Below are 24,499 nucleotides of genomic sequence, written 5' to 3'. Positions count from 1 at the left end.
GGTTGCAGTGAGCCAAGATCGTGCCACGATACTCCAGCCTGGGCAACAGAGCAAGACTCTGTCTTAGAAAAAACAAAACAAAAAACAAAGCAAAACAAAATGAAAAAAACAACCACCTCTTTTTCCTTATAAATTACCCAGTCTCAGGTATGTTTTTATCAGCAGTGTGAAAACGGACTAATACACCTTTCAACTCCCGACCCAGCCCTCTTTTGCGTTGTTGAGTTTATGGTGAACATCAGCTTTTAAGGTCAGTCATGAGCTCCTAGAGGGTTGGAGACTGTGTCTAGTTTCTCCTTAGAATCCTTGAGGCCTAGATTGGGACATATAGTACTTGCTGAATACATAGCAAGGGTGTGTCTTAAGAAGCTTTAAAAAAAATCTATAAAGCCGGGAAATCCCGTATGTCCCTTTACTCTTGTACCGCCTAGCTGACTGGAATTGACTCATGGGATTGTGGGGGCTAGGATTTACTCTTTCACTCCTGCACCAGCACTAGAACCCCCCTGTGCTTGCTGAAATATACTTCCTAGGGCCTTACTCCTAGGACACAGTGGGGCAGGCTGTGCTAGAACATATTAATATGTACATAGTCACTCTCTCGGGTCACCTTTTATTACTATCTTGCATGTATATTTTATAAAGTACACAGTATATTAGCATGGTACCCCTAATGTATAGTTTATAAATAAATAATGTACAAATATCAGATTTTTTTCTTTTGCCGCTGGGACACACCCTCAGAAAACCTTGGCAGCAGGGCTACCACGTGAGCGCCATGTGCCCACACAGGCCAGGCCCTCCATGAGCGTTGTCTCATCCGCCCCCAGGACAACCTGACAAGGGGGTCACTGACATCACCTGTGAGCTACCGAAAGGCAGCCAGGGCCCAGATGTGCCACCACCTGCCCAGGGTCATCCCAATGGGCAGAGTAATCTGAGGCTGGGCGCCGTGGGTTACCCAACCTGGTCTGGGACGGGTGGCTCATGGCAGGTGCCATCGAGAGGCCTTCTTGAGGCTTGTTTCTCCTGACCAACCCAAAGGTCCCCGCCAGCCTGTCCTGGCACATAGACCCCGGTGATTAATTCCCCTTGCCCTTGTCCCTTGCTAAGCAGGCAAGCAAAACCACAGCCAGTTACACAAACACATGTAACTGCATGTCTGGATGGAGAACAGATGTACCTATGCAGCGGCAGGGACATCAACACTCTCACTGATGAATTGGCCGAGGAATGAGGAATAGCACAAATCAGCTACGGAACATTGACAAACTGGGAGCTAAACTTTGCTTCATGCCTGTGAGGCAGTATTTTGATGAGCGGTGGATGCCCAGTGCTTCCTTGTTCCTATATGCTCCTTAACCACAGTGATGATGAGGGTGACAGTGCTGATTACCACGGCAACCAGAACGCTCACTGAGCACAATGAGACAAAGCTATACTTCGGTGAGCACCCCTGTTGACCTTCATAAGAACTTTCTTGTCACCCCCATTTACAAGGGATAGAACTGAAGCACAGAGAGGTTAAGAAACTTTTCCAAGGTCACAGAGCTAGAAAGAAACATGTCGAGGCACGTGGGGTGGTCAAATCCTGCAGCAAGTCTCTCTACGCAGAGTAAGCCCCAGAGACGGAGGCCCACCCAGCTGCACAGACAGCCCTCCCTGTGACATTCCCAATGCCAGGGGCCAGATGTTTGTGTCCCCCAAAATTCCTATGTTGAAGCCTAACCCCAATGTGATGGTATTCGGGGGGTAGGGTCTTGGAAGGTGATTAGATCATTAGGTGGAACCCTCACCAATGGGATTGGTACCCTTAGGAAAGGGGCCTTAGAGAGCTCTGTGGCCCCTTCTGCCATGTGAGGACACATAGAAGGCACCACCTATGAGAAAGTGGGGCCTTGCCAAACCCCACGTGTCAGAACCTTGATCTTGGACTTCCCTGTCTCTGGAACTGTGAGGAATGAATTTCTGTTGTTTATAAGACACCCAGTCTAGGGATTTTGTTATGACAGCTCAAAGGGACTAAGACTACAGCATGGATGAAGTGGAGGGCCTGTGCTGTCCTTACATGGGCCCAGGTGAGACACAGTGGTGAGTCCTAGCCTGCAGCCTTGCTGTCATGAGCACCTGGGAGAAGCTGTCTGCAGGAGGAGCAGCAGCACAGGCAGCTGGGGGGCTCTGGAGAAGTCAGCTTCCTTCCATCAGTAGGTTCTTCCCTTGCAGCCCGGATTCCCATAGCAGCCCCTCAGTCCCTCGCTCCCCCTCATCACGTGTTTCTACTGCGCCCAGAGCTGGGACACTGTGAAAAACCAGACAGGTGTGGTCATGACTCTTGGGTTCAGCACAGAGAAAAGACAAAACACAAACATCTTTTTCTTGACAGGTTTTAAAACTTAAATCTTGGGGCAGTGACAACACAAAGACTGTTTCTCATAAAATTCGCTTTTGATGACTGGAGAATGAGCGCAAGGCCCTGCTCACCCACCGCTGACCAGGCATACCCACGAAGGCACCCCATGTGCAAGCCTGTGTGTGTGGGCACGCATGTGCATGTGGGCATAGGGCCTCCACCATTTCCAAAAATTAAATTCTCATGCAGATGCATTCTCCATTCTAATAGAGAACTGAAGTTCACAAAAACGTTTGATAACAAAAATTTTCTTTTTCACATGGGATAAGACAACGTCTGCCAAACCTCCCTCAACAGGGGAAAGAGAGGGAGAGAGGGAGAATAAATGAATAAATGAATAAAATAGTAGTTGTTGCGATTAATAATTGATTAATTTGCTGCCTGGTGCTTTCTGCTTTCACCCCATGGAGATGTGAAAACAATGTATCAGGCGAGACAGTGGGAATGGGGTTTGAACTCAACACACTGCAGAGAGAAGCAAATAACAACCATTATTCACCATTGTCTGCACCAGGCAAAGCAAAATACTCTTACAGGCCTTTCCTACTGTGAGTAATTTTCCCCCCAAAAAGCAACATTTATATACTTTCTGTATGACCAATATTGAATTTTCCCACAGCATTTTATCTCAGAGATCTATCACTTCTGGAGCATTGGGGACACAGTTGAGAATGTGACAAAAGCAAAGCACTGCTTTCTGCACTTGATTTCAGGGCTTCAGGGACCCTAGACTCTATACCCTGGGACCAGCACACAGAAGCCTCAATTTGCAAATGGCTGGAGGTTGCACCTCAGACATACCTGCCAGTTTGTGCAATGAGCCCAGCCCTCAACAAGGAGTTTCTCAGGGTCAGACAGGAATCCTGACCTTGGCCCACAAAAGGCCCATGGAGGAAAGGGGGCCTCACCCAGGGCTTGCAGATGACACCCCATGTAACACATTGCACGGTGCAGACAGCGGTGGGCCTGGGCCACGTTCACGACAGCAGTTTCCAGAATGAGTTTCTACAATGAGTGCTACCTTCCCCCACTCTCAGACCCCAGCTCAAAATCCGTGTTCACTTACAGACACTGGGTTTCGAGAACAAATAACAAGAGGCTCAGGTCTGAGCCACGCCATGGGAGAAACAGTCCAGGGATGAGGGCTCCCTGGACCTGGCACCTGTTAGTACTTTACAGGCACTGGCTTCTCTAATCCCCCATTGGCCCATTCTGGCTCATTCATGTAACTGATATTTATTTTGCACTTAGCACTCGTGAGCTGTGCGCACAGTAAGAACTACAGAGGCGAAGACTTGGTCTCGCGGAGCCCATGTGCTGGTAGAGAGGCTGCATGGGCAAAGCCAATGGTATTGGCGTCAGGGACGCTGCCGTAGGGGAAATAAGGTTGGGTGAGAAGAAGGGGCCAAGTGTTGCCACACAGCGGCCAGGTGGCTTCCTGCACTGAGCGATGTTTTAAACGCGGTGGAGCCTTGCACACCTCCAGGGACAGCAAGAGTCTCAGGGGCTGTGGTTGGGGTGTGAGGACCATCAAAGAGGCCCATGGGCTGGGTCCAAGGGAGAGGCGAGCCGGGAGAGGGAGGCAGGCCACATGGGGTGGGGCCACAGGCACTAGGGAGGATGTGGCATTCAGTGCCTCAGGGAGCCACTGGAGGGATTTGAGCAAGAGGTGACATTATCCAACTTCTATGAGACCCTGGTCCTGTGGCCACCTGTGTGGAGAATGAACTAGAAATGGGGCAATGGTGGCACAGAGAGACCGCCTGGAGGCCAAGTCCAGGCAGGAGAGCACAGCAAACCATTGCCAGAGAAGAGGGAGTTGGCTGGACCCGCGAACTGCTCCAAGGGGAACAGAGAGGACTTCAGGGTCATCCGGACATCAGCACAAAGCCAAAAGCTTCACAGGAGGCTTAGATGTATTGATTGAAATGGAGAAGAGTCCCAGCACAGGGCGCAGATGGGAACCGAGATCTGGAGATGTAAGCTATGCAATGCACACCAGTCCCCACGTGGACGCATGCGTAGAGTCCACAGAGACACCCTGGAGCTCAGGGGCCATCGGCTGGAGGGACAAATCAGATTCATCAGGGTCACAGATGTGTTTAAAGCCACACAACCAACAGGTGCTTACTGACTCTTAGAACCAGGTACCCTGGGATGATGGACACACCACGGGACACAGACAGATACCAGCATGATCCCTCATACAGACAAAATTAGACAGTCAACAATAAGTAATTGATAGGTAGCAAAGAGACAGAGAATAGAGAATGACAAGAATTAGTGTGAATCTGCAACTGTGTCCCAGCTAGGAAGGAAGGTTCAGTGTTGTCATAGAAGCCAACAATGAGGGCCTTCGTCTGACAACAAGGAAATGGGGCAGGGACAGGGGAGGGACCTGCCCAGGGCCAAGTCCAAGCTTCACAGCACATTCTGTTGGAGGCCATGGACCGGCCCAGCCACAGAGATCTCAGGGATGGAGGGGACTTTGTGGGTCAAATCCCAGAGCCTAGCTTTAGCTCAATGAGAAGAGGAACGAGTTAACCAAGAGGAGTGGAATCAGGGGGTTGAAAGGGGGTTCTCTAAAAGATGTGCCAAGTCCAAATCCCCAGAACCTGTGAAAGTGACCTTATTTGGAAATCGGATCTTTGCAGAAGTAATTAAGTTAATCTCTAGATGAGGAGATCATCCAGGATTATCCAGATGGGCCCTGCCTGCAATACTACTATCCTCATATGAAGGGGAGAGGAAGGAGGGAGAGGAGGCAGCTATGTGCCCACGGAGGCAGGGCTGGGATTCTCAGGCCAAGAATGCAGGAACCACCAGAAACTGGAAGAGAATGGCTCCTCCTTGGAGCACTCGCAGGGAGCACGACCCTACCCACACTTTGATTTTGGATTTCTAGCTTCTAGAACTGCAGAAGAGTAAATTCTGTGGTCATAAGTCACCCAGCAGATGATAAGGTGTTACAACAGCCACAAGAGGCTAACACAGCTGGCTGTGACCAGGCCACCTGGCTGAGCAGGAGGCGTCCCTGTGCAGAGCACTCAATCAGAGAAGGAAGGCACTGGGCGGGAGGGACAGAGGTGGGAGCCAAGGGTGCTGCTAGATGTGCTTTGATGCCGTCTCCAGTGCAGAAACTCTGTGTCTCAACCACGCTGCTGGCTCAACCACGCTGCCACAGAGGGTTTTGAGGTCATATCCGGGCCAGGCCTGAGGCTCCCGAGAGGTGAAATGCAGATTCCCATCCTCTTCTGTGTTTAAATAAAATGACTGCATTATACCTTTAACGCCAGGCGTGAGGACACTGCATCTGGATGGCCTAACAATGCCCTAAAGGAAAGTCAAGCCGGGAGACCCTTCTGGGCCAGAGGCTCTCCTCCCCAGGGGCTGTCCTCCCCAGGGGCTATCCTCCCCGTGTGGCTGGTGAGGACAGGAAGAAGTGCTCTCCGAGGTGCACCCTGAGCCAGGCCCTGTGCCAAGGGCTGACATGGATTAATCCACTCATCCTCAGAGAGGGTCTAGCACAGAGCGGAAAGCTGGCGCTGGCAGCCTGGGTTCAAGTCCCAGCCTGGCACCAACGAGCTGCATGACCATGGCCAGTTACATGGCCTCCCTATGCCTCAGTTTACACATCTGTAAAATAAGGACTATGATGTCATAGCCTCATGGGGCTCCTGTGAGGATAAAACCTTTCTTGTCACAACCTTAGACCAGCATCCCGGACACAAGAAACACCCGGTAAGGGGCCCTGGCTGCTGACATTGTCAATGTCAAGAGGAAGCAGTTCCCATCTCCCTCTTCACCAATGAAAGCATTGTGTCCTGGAGTGGATAAGGGACTTATGGAAGGGCACCCCCAAACCAAGGGCACAGACTATGCCAGTGATTCTCAGCTGGGGGTGATTCTGCCCCTCAGGGGCATCTGGCCAAGTCTGGAGACATTTTAGATTGTCTTCACTGGGGGAATCCAGTGTGGAGAGGCCAGGGATGCTGCAGGATATCCTAATGTGTCCAGGACAGCCCCCTCCCCAGCAGAGAATCGCCTGGCCTCTTGCCACCAGCGCTGAGGCTGAGGGACCGTGCTCTAGCCCTTGACCATCCCAACACCAGCTCTACTCAGAAGTGCACCCTCATAGCACCCTCCTGCTGGAGGCTCACAGGTGTTTAAGGGCAAGGATTCCAGGGCCTAACGAGTTTGGGAACACCACAGGCTCCAGCCTCTTCAGAGAGGTTGGTGCCCTCAGGCCAGTGACCAGCTCCTAGTTTCTGCCACAAAGACACTGGTTCCGCGGTGGCAGTCAGCCTCCTCCAAACGCACAGGTGACAGCACCCCCACCCCTTTCATGTTGTGCAGCCACATACTCAGAATTGCTTCCTCGGACCCGGTGGAAAGGCTCCAAAGCAGCAGGAAGCGGGAGGCTATGGAGCCCTGGGCTGCCGGTCTATCCACCCATCACAGTACCCACCGCATGCCTTCAGTACCAGCCAGGGTCAGCACCGACATCTGATGCCCTTTCCTGCTCCCCACAGACACCCAGGGAGACGTGGCCTGAGCTTTGCCCATGCCCGCAACAGTCACCATGAGATGCTTCCAGGAAGAACAGCAACGGACGCTTCCTGATCCTTCCCTTGCAGGCCAAACACCACGGCCGCCCTGGACCTTCCTGGGACTAATCAGAGGGCCCCGCACAGCCAGTACCAGCTGGGAGGGAAACCCCCTCAGCACTTCCTCCTCCTGGCCTGAGCCTCCTTCTCCCTTCATCACAGGGTGGTCTGCAGGCCTCTATCGTCCCGAGCCCCGGAGTCCTCAAGGGTAGGATGGAGCAATTACCTCATGGGAGAACGCACCATGAGGACAAATACGGAGCTGGCTTCCAAGGACCCTGTGAGCATCTGCTCCCAAACAAGCGTATGCTGCCTGTCCCATCCACAGCACTTCTGAGACGGCCATTTGAGATCAATAGAGCAATCTCTCTTCCTCCCTCTCCCCCTGCTTCCATCTCGTCCTGCTTTACTTGTTACAGTTTTTTTTTGTTTTTGTTTTTGCTATAACTTCTGTACACTGAGCATCTGTACACCAACTATATACTGTTCGCCACAGCATCCTCAGGGGTGGCATTCTCTAAGTCACTTGCTTCACCACTTTTATGTTGTTTTTTTTTTTCACATACACATGAAAACTAATATGCAACTCTCAAAACAATTTCACCGGGGTATTTTCTAGTTCCTTGCTCTAAGCCTGGCTGTGCACCCCCACCCCAGCTTGTTTCAGGAGAAGCTCATTTCCAGAGGACACAGCCCCCCTCTTGTTTCTCCCCAGGTGCAGCCCCTCGACCTGTTCCTCCCCCAGGCACGAGCTCTGTCCTCGACCCCCTGGTGACACTAGACCTCTGGCCGAGATCCCCACACTTAATGGGCCATCCTTTCCTCACCAGAAATAATGGAGTCGTTCAGCGCCTCCTCGTCCTGATACAAAAGCAAGTCGTCTTTGAGTTCAGAATTTATGATCAGGTTCTCCTTGTTCTCCTCAGATTCCTTAGCGGCAGTTCGCTTGTTCTCCAATGCCCCGTCAAAGCTCCAAGCCTCCTCCCTCTCCTTGCCCCGCTCCACGCTGGACGTTCTCGACAGACGGACATCCAGCCGCTTCTTTGGAGACCCTTTACTTTCTCTTCCTTGAAAACTAAACCAGAAAGATGGTTCAGGTTATAGGTCACCCCCTTCACCCAGAAACCCAGCACGATTGACTTTGGAGCTTATAATGAATATCACAGAGGCAGCCCCAAAATGCATGTGACCTCTTGGTTTTTATCCTGGACACACCAGAAGGAGCATGAGGATTTGAGTTCAAGGCAAATGGCTGTTTACAACATGCTGTTTTGAAAAGCACAGAACATGCAAGTAATAAAACCTGCCAAAATACATGCAATCAATGTTCAGGGCGAGGACTTCACAAAAACTGAGAAGGACATTTTGTTTGTCTAATATTCCTCCAACCCATACTGTCTCCTATTACCTATTTTACCTCTAATCTTTCACAGTCCATGAGACACATGTGATCCAAAATAAGAGTAAGCTGCAGGCACAGGCTGCCTTACACTCTTGCCCAGTGACAACTATGAAGCCCTCAGTGTCCTGGGACAAAGTGGAACGGCCACTTTTCTCTAAGTCAGTCTCTCCTGCAAAGCTCCCACCCCACCCTGGGTCCTGAGGGGCTCACGCACAGGACTTTGTGGCCAGGTTCCCATAGTGCACATTCACTGTGCACCCCGTCCCAGAATGTGGGAACCAAGATCAGCTATGCAATCTGCAGAGCGAGGTGCAAAATGAAAATGTGACTTCCTTGTTCAGAAAGTGACTGTAGAACGGGACACCCAGCCAAGGCCCTGGGCGTGGCATGAGCTGCACAGCCTGAGGCTGGCCAGGCAGGGATTCTGGCAGCACAGGTCTCCCTCATGGGGCAGGGCCTCACCTGTCCTGGCGGTGCTTCGTGGCCAGCGCCCTGTGCAGCTCCTCAATGACGCGGCTTGGGGGAAGAGGCCGGTGGACCGTGGTGAGATGCGGAGACCCCGTGGGTGTGGAGAGCTGGCCCCGGAGGGAAGGGTCGGCACTCTTCATGCTGGAGGCTTGGAAGAGTGTGGCTTGGCCTGGGGTGTGGGAGGAAGCAGCAAGAACATAGGTCTTCAGGAGCTGGGACCAAGGGTTTTGCTGAGACTGGGGACCATGAGCGGAAAGGACGCTCCCCTGCACCTCCAGGAGGGGCCCCAACTAATGCCAAGATGCTGGACCGGGATCCCTGCTCCCAAAGCTAGAGGCCAGGGTGCATCTCTGTCCAGTTCTGCTCCATCTGTAGGGCAAACCCTGTTAGGGGCCAAGCCTTGCAGACACCAGCACCAGCATCCTCCCTGCAGGGCGCTGGGCTTAGAAAAGCCTCCTTCCTGCTTCTCTGCTATGAATTCAGCTTCCTGAAGCTGCTTCTTGTTCTTGGGAAACCCGGAAGAATCTGTGCAGCCACCCTTCAGCCTGGATGAGCACCATGGTCCGCTCTGCCCTCCCCACAGCATCTGTTCCAGCACCTTGGGCTTGCACTTCCAGCCCCCAGAACAGTAAGGAATAAATTTCTGGGCTCCAACCCTCTCCCTGTATCTCTGCCAGGAGGATCACCCCAGAAGGTGAATTGGATCACTCTCCCATCTTCCTTAGGACATGATTCGAACTCATGGCCCAGTCTCAAGGCCCCTGGGGGTGGCCCCACTCGGCTCCCTAGCTGCATCTCCACCTCACTCTCTTCACTCCAGCATGTGAAGATCTCTCCCGTCTTTGAAGGCACCACACTCCGTCCAACCTGAGTCTTTGCATGGGCTGTTCTTTCTGCCTGAAATGCTTCCCCGCTCCTCTGCTAGAATACCATTTCCTTAGAGAGGCCATGATCAGATCCCTCGTCTCCTGTCCCCTGGGACCTGAGCCTGCCCTGACACTTTTCCTCTTACTTGGAGTGAATCACGCTGCCCAGTCTGTTTCTTGCTCCTGGGCAGGCCTGTGTCCACCTTCCTTCCTACAGTTTCCCCAGGCCTGGCACTTAAAACACGGGCAATAAACACTTGTGTACATGAAATGACTTTGAAGATGATTCTAAACAGGCTTTGCTCATTCAAGTCTAAATGAGTGGGACACCCCCTCCTTCCATCAATGACAGTCTCCTGCATGTGCTCCGGGCCAGCAGGGTGTCAGGTGCCCGGAAGAGCAGAGAGCATGGGCTTTGTCTTCTGCAGATTTGGCCTCTGGTCTTGATCTGCCATTTCCCAGTATGCAAGACTCTGGGCAAGTCACTGAAGCTCTCAAAGGCTTAGCCTACTTGCCTGTAAAATGAGACCATCAGCTCCTTTTCAGGAGCCTAGCAGCTGGCACAGGCCCAGAAGCTCTTAGGTGTTCAGCACAAACTCTCATTCCAAAAGCGTCCTGGCAGGACTGGTGCAAACACCAGATCCCTTTAATCCCACCAGCAAAACAACCAGATCTAAACTACCCCATTCCCTAAAAACCAGAAACAAACTTCCAATACAATCCTGGGATGTGGACAGCATCAATAAAAAGTATTCCTCAAAACCCAAAAGGAAACTGTAAACCTCGTGGAGGACTTTAGTTATTTCGCTTTCTCTACAAGCACCTGCTTGGCCACACAAGGCCAGGCCACAGGGAAACGGGCCAGGCCCTGCCGTCAGCTGGTGGAGACAGACAGAGGCCAGGCAGACAGAAAGAGAGCAGATGATTGTAGAATAGAGAAGGAGACAGAAGGAGAGGGAGAGAAAAGGGCTGGGAGAGAGAGTGGTGGAGGGAGGGGGGCGAGAGGGCACCACGCAGGTGGGCTGAGAGTACTGGGCTGGTCGGGGGGAGGTGGTAGCTGGTTTGGGAGAGGGAGGTCAGGAAAGGCTGCTCTGCAGAGGGAAACTTTGAGCTGAGACCTGAGAAATGACAAGGAGCCAGCCATGCAAGAAGTGGCCAGGCAGGGCAGGGGCTGCAGGGAGACCCATCCCCAGCTTCTGCACACTGCGCTGTCCTCTCCCCACTGGCCTCAGCCTCCCCAGGCTGCTCCTGCTCAGGACAGTGCCCCACTCCTGAGCACACGCAGGTGACACGCAGCATCCCCCAGCCCCTCTGTCTCTAACCATCATTGCCTCTACTTCTCACCCCAGCCCCATGAGGAAGGAATCACTAGCCCTCTTGTACAAATAGGGAAACTGAGGCAGCGTGGTTTGCCTGCTCTCGCTCAGCTTGGTGGAGCTGGGATCCCACCCAGGTCTCTGCCCCACTGTCAATCACAGATGTGACAACCAGCACTGCCCCCACGGCCCCCATAGAGCTTTGCCTGGCTCGCCCCACCCAGCTTGTGCAGGGGACCACTTGTCACCCCCATTTCACAGATGAGGAAGCTGAGGTTCAGAAGCCACCTCAGGGGCAGGCTGCCAGGAAAAGGTGGGGGCTGAGAACAGCACATCGCACCCAGCTCCACTTACACTTGGCAGAGGCTGTGGGACTCCCATCCCGCAGAGTTGAGCGTTACCAACTGGACCAGGTGACAGCAGGGGTAAAGGAGAGGTAAAAGGGAGAGGGGTAAACGCATCTCCAGGGACCAGGCAGGTGAAACCCAGGAATGCAAAGGACCTCCTGCAATTTCTCCATGGGGGCAGGGTGGGGACCACAGCACACAGAGGAGAACCTGCCCACCTTAATGGGCCTGTAGTGACTCAGAGGGTGATCAGAGATGAAGACTTTTCAAGAAAGTCCAGGAATTTGGCCTATGAACCAGGAAGCAAGCCCTCATCAGAGACACCAAATCTGCCGGCACCCTGATCTTGGACTTCCAGCCTCTAGAAGAGTGACGAATAAATTTCTGTGGTTTATAAGTCACTCAGATGAACTAAGACACCTGCAGTCCTGCCTTGGGTGGAGACTCAGTTGGGCCAGGGTCCCTCCTGCAGCAAGGGAAGCCCAGGTAAGGAGACTTTCTTCTTTGCTACCATCTAGTGTTCACATGCTGAAGCACATGAACCTTTTCCCAAAGGAAAAGGAAAAAGAGGAACTGAGAAAATTAAATCAAAGTCACCAAAATGTAGTCTGTGCAGGAAGAAGCCAGGCCAGGACCCATAGCTCGGAACTACCCTCCTCCACCTCCCAGTCTCAATTCAGTCCCTATGGAAACGCATAAGTGTCAGAGTATCCCCTGATGTCCTTGCAACTGAGGGCAGGGCGGAAGCCAGAAGTGTCCGCAGACTGGGGACAGAACGCCAGAATTTAGGGCGTGTGGAGTCAGAATGAAGACCTGTGCCATCTGAGGCTCGACCTTCCCAAGCTTGGGAGAGGCAGGAAACTCTCTGGGTTACCAAGTTATTGAGGGCCAGGAACAAATTATACATTCGCCAGAATAAAATGAGGTGGATGGTGGCTAATTGAATGGACTTTAAATGGTTTTAGGTTTCAATGGAGGAAAAAGGGAGCTATCACAAAGACAATAACAAAATGCAAAGTAGCACAGTTTTGCCTCAAACTTTGTACTGTAATTTATGTGGCCATGTTGCATAAAGACTGAATATTTGGATTCATCTACAGAGATGTAGAAAGATGCAGAAAGCAGACAGACAGGGTTCAGAGCACGCATGCATTCATTCACTCATTCATTCATCCATCCAACCATCATCTGCACTTGCTGAGTGCCTGCTGTATGCCCTGTACTATGCCTGCACTTGGATTTGACAGTGAACACAGACGTGTGGCCGTCTCTCAGGGACTACTGTCTGGGGGGCAGGTGGTTAGAGAGAGGCAAACCATCCAACAGACAAGGCGTGTATGGCTCCTTGGGCAGCCCAAAGCAACAGAACAACTCTCACAGTTTTGGAGACCAGAAGTCTGAAATCAAGATGCTGGCAGCGTTGGTTCCTTCTGAGGCTGTGAGGGAGATGCCGTCCCAGGCCTCTCCCCCGGAAAATTCTTGGCGTTCTGTGGATGCATCAGTCCCATCCCTGTGTGTCCTGTCCTGCCTGTCACATGGACACTGTCATTGGATTCAGGGCCTAACCGAATCCAGCATGAGCTCAGCTTGATCTTTAACTTAATGGCAGTTGAGAGACCCTTATTCCAAACAAGGTCATGTTCTGAGGTTCCAGGTGGATGGGAATTTTGGGGTGACACCATTCAACCCACTAAACAAGGTGGGGCAATGTGGTAAATGCTGGAAGATGGGGCGCATGGTGCTATGAGGTCAAGGGTCAGGGCTGGCTCCCCTGGAGGAGAAACAGCTTGAGCTGTGGTCCCAAGCATGCAAAGGTACTGACCAGGCAAAGCAGGAAGGGAGAATGTTCTGTCAGGGAGAACAGCTGGGGCCAAGTCTCAGGGTGGTGGGGTGGCGGGGGCGCCCCCTCACTCATCCCTCCACCCACCCAGCAGCACATTCTCCCACAAACCAATACTACTTGGGGAACCACAGGGCACCACAGCCCCACATCTAACCCATCCAGGACATCTGCAGTCCCAGCTAAAGAGGCCCCCTGTGGGGTGCATCTCACCTCCTCCGTTTCTGTGGTATCTGGCTGAGAATCATCAGTTAGACTGGAATACTTAATTCGTGTTAGGTGTACAAGGAAAATGCCCCACTGAAAGCATTTTCCACCCAAGAGTCCCCTCCAGATTGAACATTCACCCCATAAGGGGCAGTAAGGTCCCCAGAAAAGAGCCAAGGGCTGGGACCCAGCCCTCCCGAGCTCATGCCCGGGCTCTCCTTGTCTCAGCAGCTGACACCTCTTCCAAAAGGTGGCAGTTCCCTCTTTCATGAAAACTGGGAAGAAGCACAATGAGGATTAGGTGAGATCGCAGAGGGGAGGGCACCAGCCCCTGGCCACACGTGTGGTAGCAACAAGCTTTGGGCCCAAAAACTGGGTTCAAAAGTCTCAATCATTTCCAGGACCTGGGACAAGTTACTGGAGTTTCCTGAGCCTGTTTTCTCAACCATAAATGGGGCACCTCGTGCCTACCCAGCAAATGGCAATTATTGATGGTGGTTAATCACTGGTTAGGTGATTGTAACAAAACTGTCAAACCCTGCTATGCATCATGTTTCACGCCCACAGCCTTCAAAGACAGCACGCAAGGCTTTACTCTGAAAAGTCATTATCTCTTGATCAACAGCCTACTTTTTCCCTGAGACCATCAATGTGTCCTGTTTGTAGCAGTCAATTCCAGATAAAAAATACCTAAGCTTGCAAAGTAATTATCTCTACTTGCTAGGATTATTCTGCCAGTGTGACAAAAGCTACATAAGTGTATGACTGTGGGGGCCTCTGTCCAGCTGTGCACCCCTATCTGACCACCAATGTCTGCTGTTTACTCCTGGCTCTGCCTTGCTGGACAGAACTCACTGGAAAGTGAAACAGCAAAACAGAGACCAGCAGAGAGAGGGAGGGAGGAAGGGAGAGAGACTGACTGAAAGAGACTGAGACTCAGAGAGAAGCACAAAGAGAAAGACAGACACATGAGCATCCAGAAAGAATGGAATGGAACAGAACAGAATGGAATGGAACAGAAAGGAATGGAAAGGAAAGGAATGGAATGGAATGGAAAGGAACAGAATGGAAAGGAAAAGAAAAAAGAAAAAGAAAAGCCAAGCCAAGCTAAAGCCAAGCCCCATCCTGGGAACTGGCTGCACCTCTTGCATTCAGGTCCTGGAAGATCCCCCCTTTGACTCCTGCAAAGAGACTCCCCTGTTTGCTTGAGGGAGCCTAGGCAGTCTACTCCTGCCAACCACAGTTTCCTTGGTAAGATCTACTCCTCTGGGCCTGCCCTGAGCCCCAGTCACAGAAGCTAATGATGAGAACCAGCCCACAGTTGGTGCCCAATCAAGACTGGTTGAAGGTATGGATGGATGGATGAGTGAATGGGTGAATAAATAGATAGATGATGGATGGGTGGATGAATGTAGGATAGATGGATGGATGGGGCAGAGAAAGGAAATAGAATGGGCAGGATGCATGTGGACCCACCTGTGACATTTTTTGTGGTTTTGGAGCTTGCCTTGGGTGGCGGAGTGGGCAGCAGTGGGGGGCTGGGGAGCTGGCCCACGGATCTCTCCAGAGGTCTGGGAGGACTGTCCAGGGAGTCAGCCCCAGCTAAGGCTTGGGAGAGCTCATTGGTGGTGGGCAGGAGGCTGCCAGCGTCTGCTTCTTCACCACTGGATGCAGAAGGCATCTTGGCTGGTTCAAAGGCAAAGCAGAGAGTTAAAAACATGTTTCCTCTGACAGCAGTGGAAGTAAGAGAGCAAAGCAAGAGGGTTTGGTGGGATGGGATCGTGAAGAGCATACAGAGCAGTGACCTCACACAGGCACTTGACTTCCTGCAAGTTCAACTCTCAATAGAACCATCGGAAGCAGAGAGAGGAATATGGAGAGAGGGAAGTCATTTCAATAGTATGAGGGATTCCATTCTTTTTTCCACATGAGAGGTCCATGCCACAGCTCCCACCTCACCTAGGAGCAGTGTTCACCATGCCAGGTTTTGGAGTCAGACACACCCAGGCTCAAGTGGTCTCTGAATTTACTCTTGGACCTTAAGTTACTAAATCTCTCCAAAACTCCATTTACTCATGCATGGCATTGTGTTAACAATAGTCCCTCACAGGATTGTTTCTCAGTTTAAGCAAGAAGTGGCCATGACACAGTGTAACCCTCCAGTCCAGCAGCTCTCATTCTTATTTGTCTGTTTGCAGCAGCCCTAACATCTGGCATGCCAGCCTAGAGTGGGAGTGAGGATAGGAAGGATCGACTTGGAGGAAGGGTCAGGCCACCCAGAACCCTCATCCCTCCCTTTCTAGCTGCTGATTCAGGCTCCATCCACCTCCTTCACAACCACCCCTCAGCCTGCCCATCCCCAGCTTTCCCTCAACCTATCAATCCTTCCCTTTCTTATTTCTCTTTTTGCCTGGCTTGGGTTCCATCATCCATTATTTCAACAACAATCGGACCAACAGTCCCTAAGTCCTTTGCCTGGATTCCTTTCCATTTAACTCTCTGGAAAAGTTTCATCTGGGGATTAAGCTGCCACTTGTCTGCTCCTGCCCTTGCCTACTATTGCAGGAGGAAGAGCCTACGGAGTCCACTTCAGGAAGAACTGTCACTCTGCAGGACCCGTGGCCAGGAGCTTCCTCCTGCAGGTGCTCTGCATGACTGCTCAAGCCCTTTCTGTCCCTTCCCCACCTCCAGCTTCCCACCTTTGCCTGCTCCCACCACACAGCTTCACCTCCAGCTTTACAGGGGAAACTGAGGTCATCAGACCGGGGCTCCTCTTGGATTTCTGACTCAAATGCAAACTGCTGTCCCCAGCATCTCTATTCTTCCTTCCCTCTGATCCAAGAGAGATGGTCTCCCTGGGACCAGCACTCCCTCACTTCCTGCCCTCTCAGCACACTCTTGAGTGCTAAGGCCTGTGGAAGGCACCTGGCATACATCATCTTATTCAGTTTTTACAACTACCCAATGAAGAACACACGAACACTCTCCCCACTGTATGTCTAAGGGAAAAGCCTAGTGGAGCTGGGGCTTGTCCTTGGGTCACTGTGTTAGCTCCTATGGGGTTCATTCATCTATCAGCTGCTGTTTCTGGAGGTACCCAAGAGCTGTTGGGTGCTGTCCATGGTGCTGAAAACACAGTGGTCAGGGAGGGGGTGTTACAACAGGCCTAATTCCTGCCTGCAGAGAGCCTCCAGCTAAACACCAGATGCAAATATTGCACGCTCCTTGTATCCCATTAGCTATCATTAGTTTCCGTTCCTTTATTGGCTATGTTGGAAGTTTTAAACTCTCATTCCCAGCCCTTTCTTATGTTAAGTTCATGACAATGGAGTCCTTATCTCAGAAAGGCCAGCCCTCCTAATGCCTGGAGAACAAAATCTCTGAAAGCAGAGATGGAGTATGTGTTGTTCTCCCTCAACAACACATACTCCAGCTGCAGACGGCAGACTCAGCTCTGTGTTATGAAGTTGGCCTGAACTGAGAACAACCATTACAACTGGCTCTATACTCTTGTTCTGCATGGATACCCACATGAAAATGCTGTTTTCATTTTATTTTTCTTGTTACATTAAACTGTCCTCAAAAGTGTTACTTGTTAAAAAGGGTTTAAGACTCCTATGCTTTGAGACTGTCATTATGTCATCTGACTTGTAACCTATAATGTCTAAGAGTCTACAACTCTGATTAGTTGTTTCACTTAGTAAGTTTTGCCCTGATAACAACATCAAAGTAAATATTTTATGCTTTCTAGGTAAAAATAGTTGTGAGGTGTCCTTGTTAAGCCACAGGTAAGCACAGAAATGCCCATTTTCTCTATGTAGGTTCCAGTTATAACTTTGTGGAGTTTTCTGTCTTGTGTAAATCAGCACAGGCAAGTGGACACCCTCATTCTTGGGACACCACACTTCACAGCCCATTTCCTCGGCAGCCAAGTTCCTGGCCAAGACCACCAGGCATGGGGTGAGCTCTCAGTAGCCAGCCCAGGCCTAGTTTTCTTCTAGGAAGTTTCTTCCTGGGGGGGTCCCACCCCTTTTCAGATATTCACACATCTATTATTCTGAAGTCCTTTAATATGGTCCTTGCATCCACACCCTGCTTTGATTGTTTGGGTTTACAGGACTTCTTGTTCCTGAACGCTTCTTTGTGAATGGGTTACGCTCTCAGGGTACTGGTCACCCAGCACATTTCCAAAGTCCTGCTTTTGGGAGACAGAGATGTCACGGAACTGGCTCACCCGGCCTCAATTACACCAGTATCCAGCATCCGCCCCCTTCCTCCATACGTTTGACCTATTTACAGACGAGTGACTTTGGCCTCCACCTTGCTTAGTGAGTCTCAGTCTCCTCATCTGTACAATAATCTGTATAAAATACCCGAACCTGCCCACTACAAGTATGGAAAGGCCAACATGAAACCATGGTGGGGAAGGTTTGTCTAGAGCTACTCAGCACTCCTCTGACTCATCTCCTCCAGGACAATGTGGCCAGCGTCTGAACCAGGCTCCAAGGGTCTGCTCAGAGGTGCCACCAAAGGAAGCATTACCAGGGAGGAAGGGCAGCCTGGGGTCAGTGTCCTCATACCAGGGAGGAAGGGCAGCCTGGGGTCAGTGTCCTCATACCAGGGAGGAAGGGCAGCCTGGGGTCAGTGTCCTCACTTCTGGGTCAGCCCCAGCCAATCATCTGGATCTATCTTCTATGTCTGATCTCCACATAAGACTTCACTAGATAAGCACTGACTTGGGCCAGTTCCACATCCCTCTGAGCTATTGACAGGTTGTCCCGCTTGGCCTGCATCACTGACTTATCCTTCTTTTCAGGATCCCAACAAGATCTAAAATATTCTACCCAAAACCAAACCAAACAGTCTTGACCTCATGTATACTCCCAGCTTAGTTACAATTATCTGCTCCTTTGAAAAATAAACTTATGAAAGATGACCTTTAACACTGCATCTCCACCCAGCAAGGCCTGGCCCCCTCACTGAGCCAGGGCCACCCCACTCAGCCATCCACCATCTTTAACACTTTCCCCTCTGGCTTCCCGACACATACTCTCCTGGTTCTCCCCTGGAGCTCTGGCCACCTCTGCTCAGCCTCTCTGGCAGGTCCCACCTCCTGCATCTGAATGTCCACCTGGGCTGCCCCAGGATGAAGGCCTAGGTCCTCTTCCCTGTCTAACCTTCTCACAGGTCATTCTCATCCACTCCTTTGGCTTCAGAACTGATTCCATTTCTCTGTTAACCCTGGACCATTTCTCTGAGCTCCAGACTCATATGTTACCAGTTGGCCACACTGGCATCTCCATCTGGAGGCCAATCACATCCAAACTTGAATCTTGGTCCCCACAAAAAATTCTCCTGAGCCTTCCCTTCCCTCTTGCTCATTCAACCATCAACCCATCTTGCAAATGTTATTGAACAACCATGGGTTCCAGGCACTATTCTAGAAGCTGTGGACATGGCACTAATCCAGACAGATCCCTACTGTATTAGTCTCTTCTTACACTGCTAAAAATAACTGCCCAAGACTGAGTAACTTATAAAGAAAAGAGGTTTAATTGGCTCACAGTTCAGCATGGCTGGGGAGGCCTCAGGAAACTTACAATCATGGCAGAAGGCAAAGGAGAAGTAAGCACCTTCTTCACAAGGCGGCAGGAAGGACATGTACCAAGTGAAGGGGGAAGAGTCTCTTATAAAACCATCAGATCTTGTGAGAACTCACTATTGTGAGAATAGCATGGAGGAAACTGCCCCCCTGTGATTCAATTGCCTCCACCTGGCCTCTCCCTTGACACGTGGAGATTATGGGGATTGTGGGGATTATAATTCAAGATGAGATTTTGGGTGGGGACACAGCGAAACCATATCACCTACTTTCACCAGGTTCAGTGTTCCATGACCCACCAGCTGTCCAGCCAGACCAGATGCCCCACGCCATCCTTCTCTTGTCCTCTCCACCCTGTACCCACCCCTTGTATCTAATTCACAGGCAAGTCTCACGAACTCTACTTCGAAAATATTTCTCAGAAATACCCACGTGTTTCCCAGTGTGAGCTGTCAGAACTTCTGCCTGGGCCTCCTCACCAGCCTCCCAGCTCCTGGCAATGCTTCCCACCCCAGTGGAAACCCATTCTCCAAACCAGGGTTTGGCAGGCCTTTTCTGCAGAGGGCCAGGTAGAAAATATTTCCAGCTTGGGCCATGTGGCCTCTGTTGCTATTACAGTCTCTGTTAGTATGGAGAACTCTGGAAGGCTAGCCAATCCAAACTACATCTGCCCTTGTTTCACAGCAAAGTAGATGTGCAGCCACCCTGACCCTCGGTACTACCCAGTAGCACTTTCTGAGATGATGGACACATTTCTTCCTTGTCCATATGGTGGCCACTAGACCCTCATGACCACTGAACACTGGACAAGCGGCTGGAGTGAAAAACAAGCTTAAATTTTAATTATTTCAAACAGTCACATGGCTAGTGGCTACTGCACTGGACAGGGGAGCTCTGGATTTCCCAGGACTGAGTCAATGGTCATAGTGCCACTGCCTTAAGGCACAGGGTAAAGGGTAAGTCTCTGAGGTCCCCTCATTCCACCTGCCCAAGGTGGGACTATGGGTTCCCCACCCTTCACCCTGATGGCCATGAGACTCACCACACCAGCTACGCTGACCAAAACCCTCCTCCAAAGTCTCCCCCAAAACATCCATCCTCACCACACACTGAACCCTCACATCCTTAGCCTGCCTGATGGCTCTAAGGACAGGAGACGGTTTTCAGCATCTCCTCTCTCCCTCCCTCCTCCCCATCTTCCCTCTCCTCTCTGACACCGCCCTCTGCATCTCACGTGAGTGTGCAGCCACCGTTGTATTTTGGAATCTTGTCAAAACTGAAATTGCAACATCTGTTAACATCTCAAGTGCTGAATCAATTTTTTAAAAAGTGGAAGAAGACACTGGTTCCCTGCATTTGGGGGACCGCTCCCTTGGGGCTGGACCAGCAGAGGCTCCCTCTTACCAAATGCAGTCTCAACCAGAAGCTTCTACACTGTACAAACCCCAATGCAGGGGTCAGGGCTAGGAATGGAAATACCTGAAGCTCAACCACAGCGCCACAAGTTCATGACTTACTGGTACCTCTTTGCTGAGCATGTTCCACTGACACCCTTCTGTGTAATCCCCACTTATTTTCCAGAGCAGGGGCTGATAAACCTTTTCTGTTCAGATGCAGATAGTAAACATTTTTGTCTTTCCAGGCTAAGAGGCAAAATCAAGAATATTATGTAGGAACTTAAACAAGAGGAAAAACTCTGCCCTGCCACTTGCCTCAAGAGGGCTACCAGGGCAGGGGACACACTTTGCAGCCAGTTACCACCCACTGAAGACATTCTGGAGTTCAAGGGTGGCCAGCCCAAGGATGGATGTGGTGAGCCATGGTCACTTGTACTCCACCCCCGTACACCCAGCACAACCTTGGTCTCAGCTTGGGCAGCTGGCTGTGGGCCAGGTGGCTCACCAACTCCCAGATGAGGTTCCTCCACTCGGTGCCCAGCAGTTGCCCAGAGCCCAGGCCCCAGGGGTAGCTGGGACCAGCATAGGCCCCAGGCAGTGGTTAAGGGCAGCCACCAGCTAGGAAGACAGGAGCAGGGCACAGGGAGGGAGGCACCCCTCCCTCCCTGGCTCCCAGGACCGGCCCACTAGAGCAGTGCTCCACAGCCATGCAGACACAGACATGGGCAGTATCTGACCTGAAGCCTGCAATTTGACAGTCCTTGTTCTAGACTCACATTCCAGAACATTCCAGAAGCAGAAGAAATGTTTGTCTCCTGTTTGGCTCTAGAGTTTAGGCTGTAGACTGTTATGGTGAAGATCAAACCCAGTCCTGCCACTGGGTTTGATCTGTTTTTATGCTCTATGGCCTGGGAAAGTGACTTAACCTCTCTGGGCTCTGTTTTCTCATCCAAAAATATGAGGCTGTTATAAGATAATAGAGTGCACACAGAACACGCTCCCTGAGTGTCACTCTCCTTTTTAATTAGTGCACTTGTGGGAAGGCCAGAACTCAGCCCCTGTCCCATAGTAGAAACACTGAAGAGGACCCTGTTCCCATTTGTGTCAAAACACCGGATCCTTCTGGGCTTTGTAGGGAATGCTCTGTTGCTGGTGTGGCACTTATTAGTCCGTTTTCATGCTGCTGATAAAGACATACCTGAGACTGAGTAATTTATAAAGAAAAAGAAGTTTAATGGACTCATAGTTCCATATAGCTGGGGAGGCCTCACAATCATGGCGGAAGGCGAAACGCACATCTTACATGGTGGCAGACAAAAGAGAATGAGAACGAAGCAAAAGGGGTTTTCCCTTATAAAACCATCAGATCTCATGAGGCTTATTCACTACCATGAGAACAGTACTGGGGAAACCACCCCCATGATTCAATGATCTCCCACCAGGTCCCTCCCACCACACGTGGGAATTATGGGAGCTACAATTCAAGATGAGATTTGGGTGCGGACACAGCCAAACCATATCGGGCACCATCCAAACAAAACCAGGAAAAGCAAAGTCGCCCCAAACACAAAAGCCCAAAGTCAACCCAAATCACCAAACCAAAGGCTCAAGGAAAATAATGGTCAAAATCATTGACAGTGTCCTCCTCCTGAGAGATTTGCAATATTCAGATGTATCCCCTGACACCCACACTCATCATGGTTGGGGCACGGGGAAGCTGCAACTCCAGTCCTGGATGTTGCCACCTGGATGCCAGGAGTGACCCAGGACAGCCCCTTGTGCTTTTTGATGACCCCTCTCCCCGACCCCCAGCAAAGCTCATGGGAGGTTTGCTTTTTAAGAGAAAGCAGCTGACCTTTCAGGACAGCAATGAGCACCACTGCAGACACCCCAGGGGCTCCTGCAGGTGTAGACCATCACCCACGGGGCACCATGTTCTGGGCCCCCATGAGGTTTCCCTGAACTTGTCCAAGGTCAAGGAGAGAAGCAGGTCCCAGGTTCCAGCACTCACGTGACACATTTGCCACTTGAGGATCTGGCTTTGTCTGCCATTAGATGACATCTGTCTGTCATGGAATTACCCACAACACAGAGCGACTGGGCCCAGATGTGGGCAGTTCCCTTGGGTGCTGAGGTGCAGAATGTGGGAAGAGAACAGACAGCATCAGACACACAGCATCTAACAGCTGGTCCCCCTGAGCTCTGCAGTAGAAACCGGAGACCTAGGACCACGTTGCCTCACAGTGGCCTCAAGCTTTAACTCCTTCTATCACAAAATACTGGGGCCCAAAGCAGAAGATTAAGTCAGTAACACAGGGATTGGCTCCAAAGACTAGGCTCTTAACCTTCATGGAAAGGGTTGCAAACTCCAACACCCATCTACAGGGACAGACTCTGTTCAGCTCCAGCGACCCTGGCTGTGTGGGAACAGGGATCCGGAGGCCTGAACTTTGATGACTGAAAAGAAACTGCACATCTGGATTTCTGTGAACACTCCTGATTTTTAAACATTGGCTTGCAAATTTTTAACCAGTGCATTTAATGTCCCTGTGTTAAGTTATACCCCGTTTATAGGGATGTTGCTCATGGCCAAGCTTCTGAACATTGACCTGGTGTTGTGGAGGTGACCGATGTCCCTGGCGCAGGGTCCCTGGCGCAGGATCCCAGGCCTGCAGGGCTGGATGAGGCCTCGGGGTTGTCCCAGCCATAGCAAACTGCAGGTGGCCCCACATCCCAAAACACACATGCTACCAGAGAGATGGCCTCTCTGGGAGCATCTGTAGGCAGCTAAATAATGCGTGTTAGTGCGTCCCTTTCCAAGGGTTGTTTTTGACAATGAAGACAACAGATGACAATGACGATGACAACGATGATGGTGAGAGTAACAGTGATGCTACAGTAGCAGCAGCAGACACTTTCCAAGTGCTCGGTGTGGGTTAGGAGGGAGATAAGTCTTTCCTGGGGATCACTTAATTTAATTTTAGCGACCCTGGGAGGTCAGTGTGACTACTATCCTCATTTTACAGTTGATCAAACATAATCAGAAAGGTTAAGTCACTTGCCCATGGTCCCACAGCTCAGTAAGGAGTTCAGCCGTGTGTCTCAAACCCAGGTCGGCCTGATGTCAAAGACATTGCCCTCTGTTTCCAGTCATTTGGACCAGTTATTCGACTTTTGTGCCAGCATTTCATCATGGGCGTGAGATCTCCGGGGGCTGCTTCCAGGGCTAAGTAAGCTAAATGAATGTGCAGTCATTAGTAGAGCACGCTCCCCAACCCTGCATGCAGGCAGCCACTTGTGTCACCTCTTGTTATCCCCAGCATGATGACAAATGTCACTAACTGCTAATAAGCCAGCTGCATCCCTAGGGAATGGAATGGTCTTTCTTAAATCAGACTTGTGGCTCCTGCTTTAGACATTTTGGACATTCCTCTGTACTTTCTATACTTTTGTTTGCTATATTTTACTTTAAGTGAATTTATATTTTTATCTCTGTTTATAAGAAAAAGCAAATCTCTATCATTGCCCAAAATGAGAAGCCAATACTACTTGCCCTAATTACTGAAAAGTATTTTCATTATTAATGTTTAAACTTTTTCATTATTAATTGAACATTAATAATGTTTTCTCATTGTCTGTCCACATGCCATTCACAAGAAGTCATCTCACAAATCCCAGGAGCACAAGACCCACACTGGGGAAGCTGGGAATGAGACAAGTCCCCAGGGAACCATGCACGGCTCCAGTCTCCCCCAGGTCTTGCTGGGTCACCAGCAGAGCGCTTCCTACAAGGCAAATCCCATCGACTCTCCATCCCTGGGGGGTTCCAGCTGCCCTCAGGGATAACCTGCCAGGTCTCTTCTCTCTCTCCATTCTGTGGGCTGTTTATTTTGAATTTTTTTTGAAGCAGGGTCTGGCTCTGTCGCCCAGACTGGAGTGCAGTGGTGTGATCACAGCTCACTGCAGCCTTGACCTCCCGGGCTCAGGCTATCCTCCCGCCTCAGCTTCGTGAGTAGCTAGGACTACAGGTGTGTGCC

General features: G+C 50.9%; 1 protein-coding gene across 13 annotated transcripts in view, besides 1 other annotated feature; it reads right to left on the bottom strand.

The window, feature by feature from the left end:
• The window catches only part of PHACTR3 (phosphatase and actin regulator 3), a 270,203-nt gene that overhangs the window by 65,377 nt on the left and 180,327 nt on the right, over positions 1–24,499 (bottom strand). For 9 of the 13 annotated variants that reach the window (NM_001199505.1, XM_017027626.3, XM_011528525.3 and 6 more), the window contains exons 5-7: positions 14,940–15,149; positions 8,882–9,056; positions 7,845–8,092 (exon numbers count right to left, since the gene is read on the bottom strand). In NM_001199505.1, the coding sequence (NP_001186434.1) occupies positions 7,845–8,092; positions 8,882–9,056; positions 14,940–15,149 (633 nt within the window). The remainder of the gene's footprint in view (positions 1–7,844; positions 8,093–8,881; positions 9,057–14,939; positions 15,150–24,499) is intronic. The other 4 variants (XM_017027628.2, XM_017027630.2, XM_011528526.3 and 1 more) reach the window with 1 other exon arrangement.
• Positions 11,070–12,269: an enhancer, noted in NCBI's record as "CDK7 strongly-dependent group 2 enhancer chr20:58345121-58346320 (GRCh37/hg19 assembly coordinates)". NCBI's record gives its function as "activates an origin of replication core promoter dependent on BRD2, BRD4, P300/CBP, MED14 and CDK7 cofactors, with strong dependence on CDK7, by STARR-seq in HCT116 cells {active_cell/tissue: HCT116}" and the evidence as "EXISTENCE:reporter gene assay evidence [ECO:0000049][PMID:35650434]".

This window comes from Homo sapiens, chromosome 20 (genome assembly GCF_000001405.40).
Source record: "Homo sapiens chromosome 20, GRCh38.p14 Primary Assembly".
Lineage (NCBI taxonomy): Eukaryota > Metazoa > Chordata > Mammalia > Primates > Hominidae > Homo > Homo sapiens.
The sequence above is the reverse complement of the archived record's forward strand: the minus strand, read 5'-3'. Positions and strand labels throughout refer to the sequence as shown.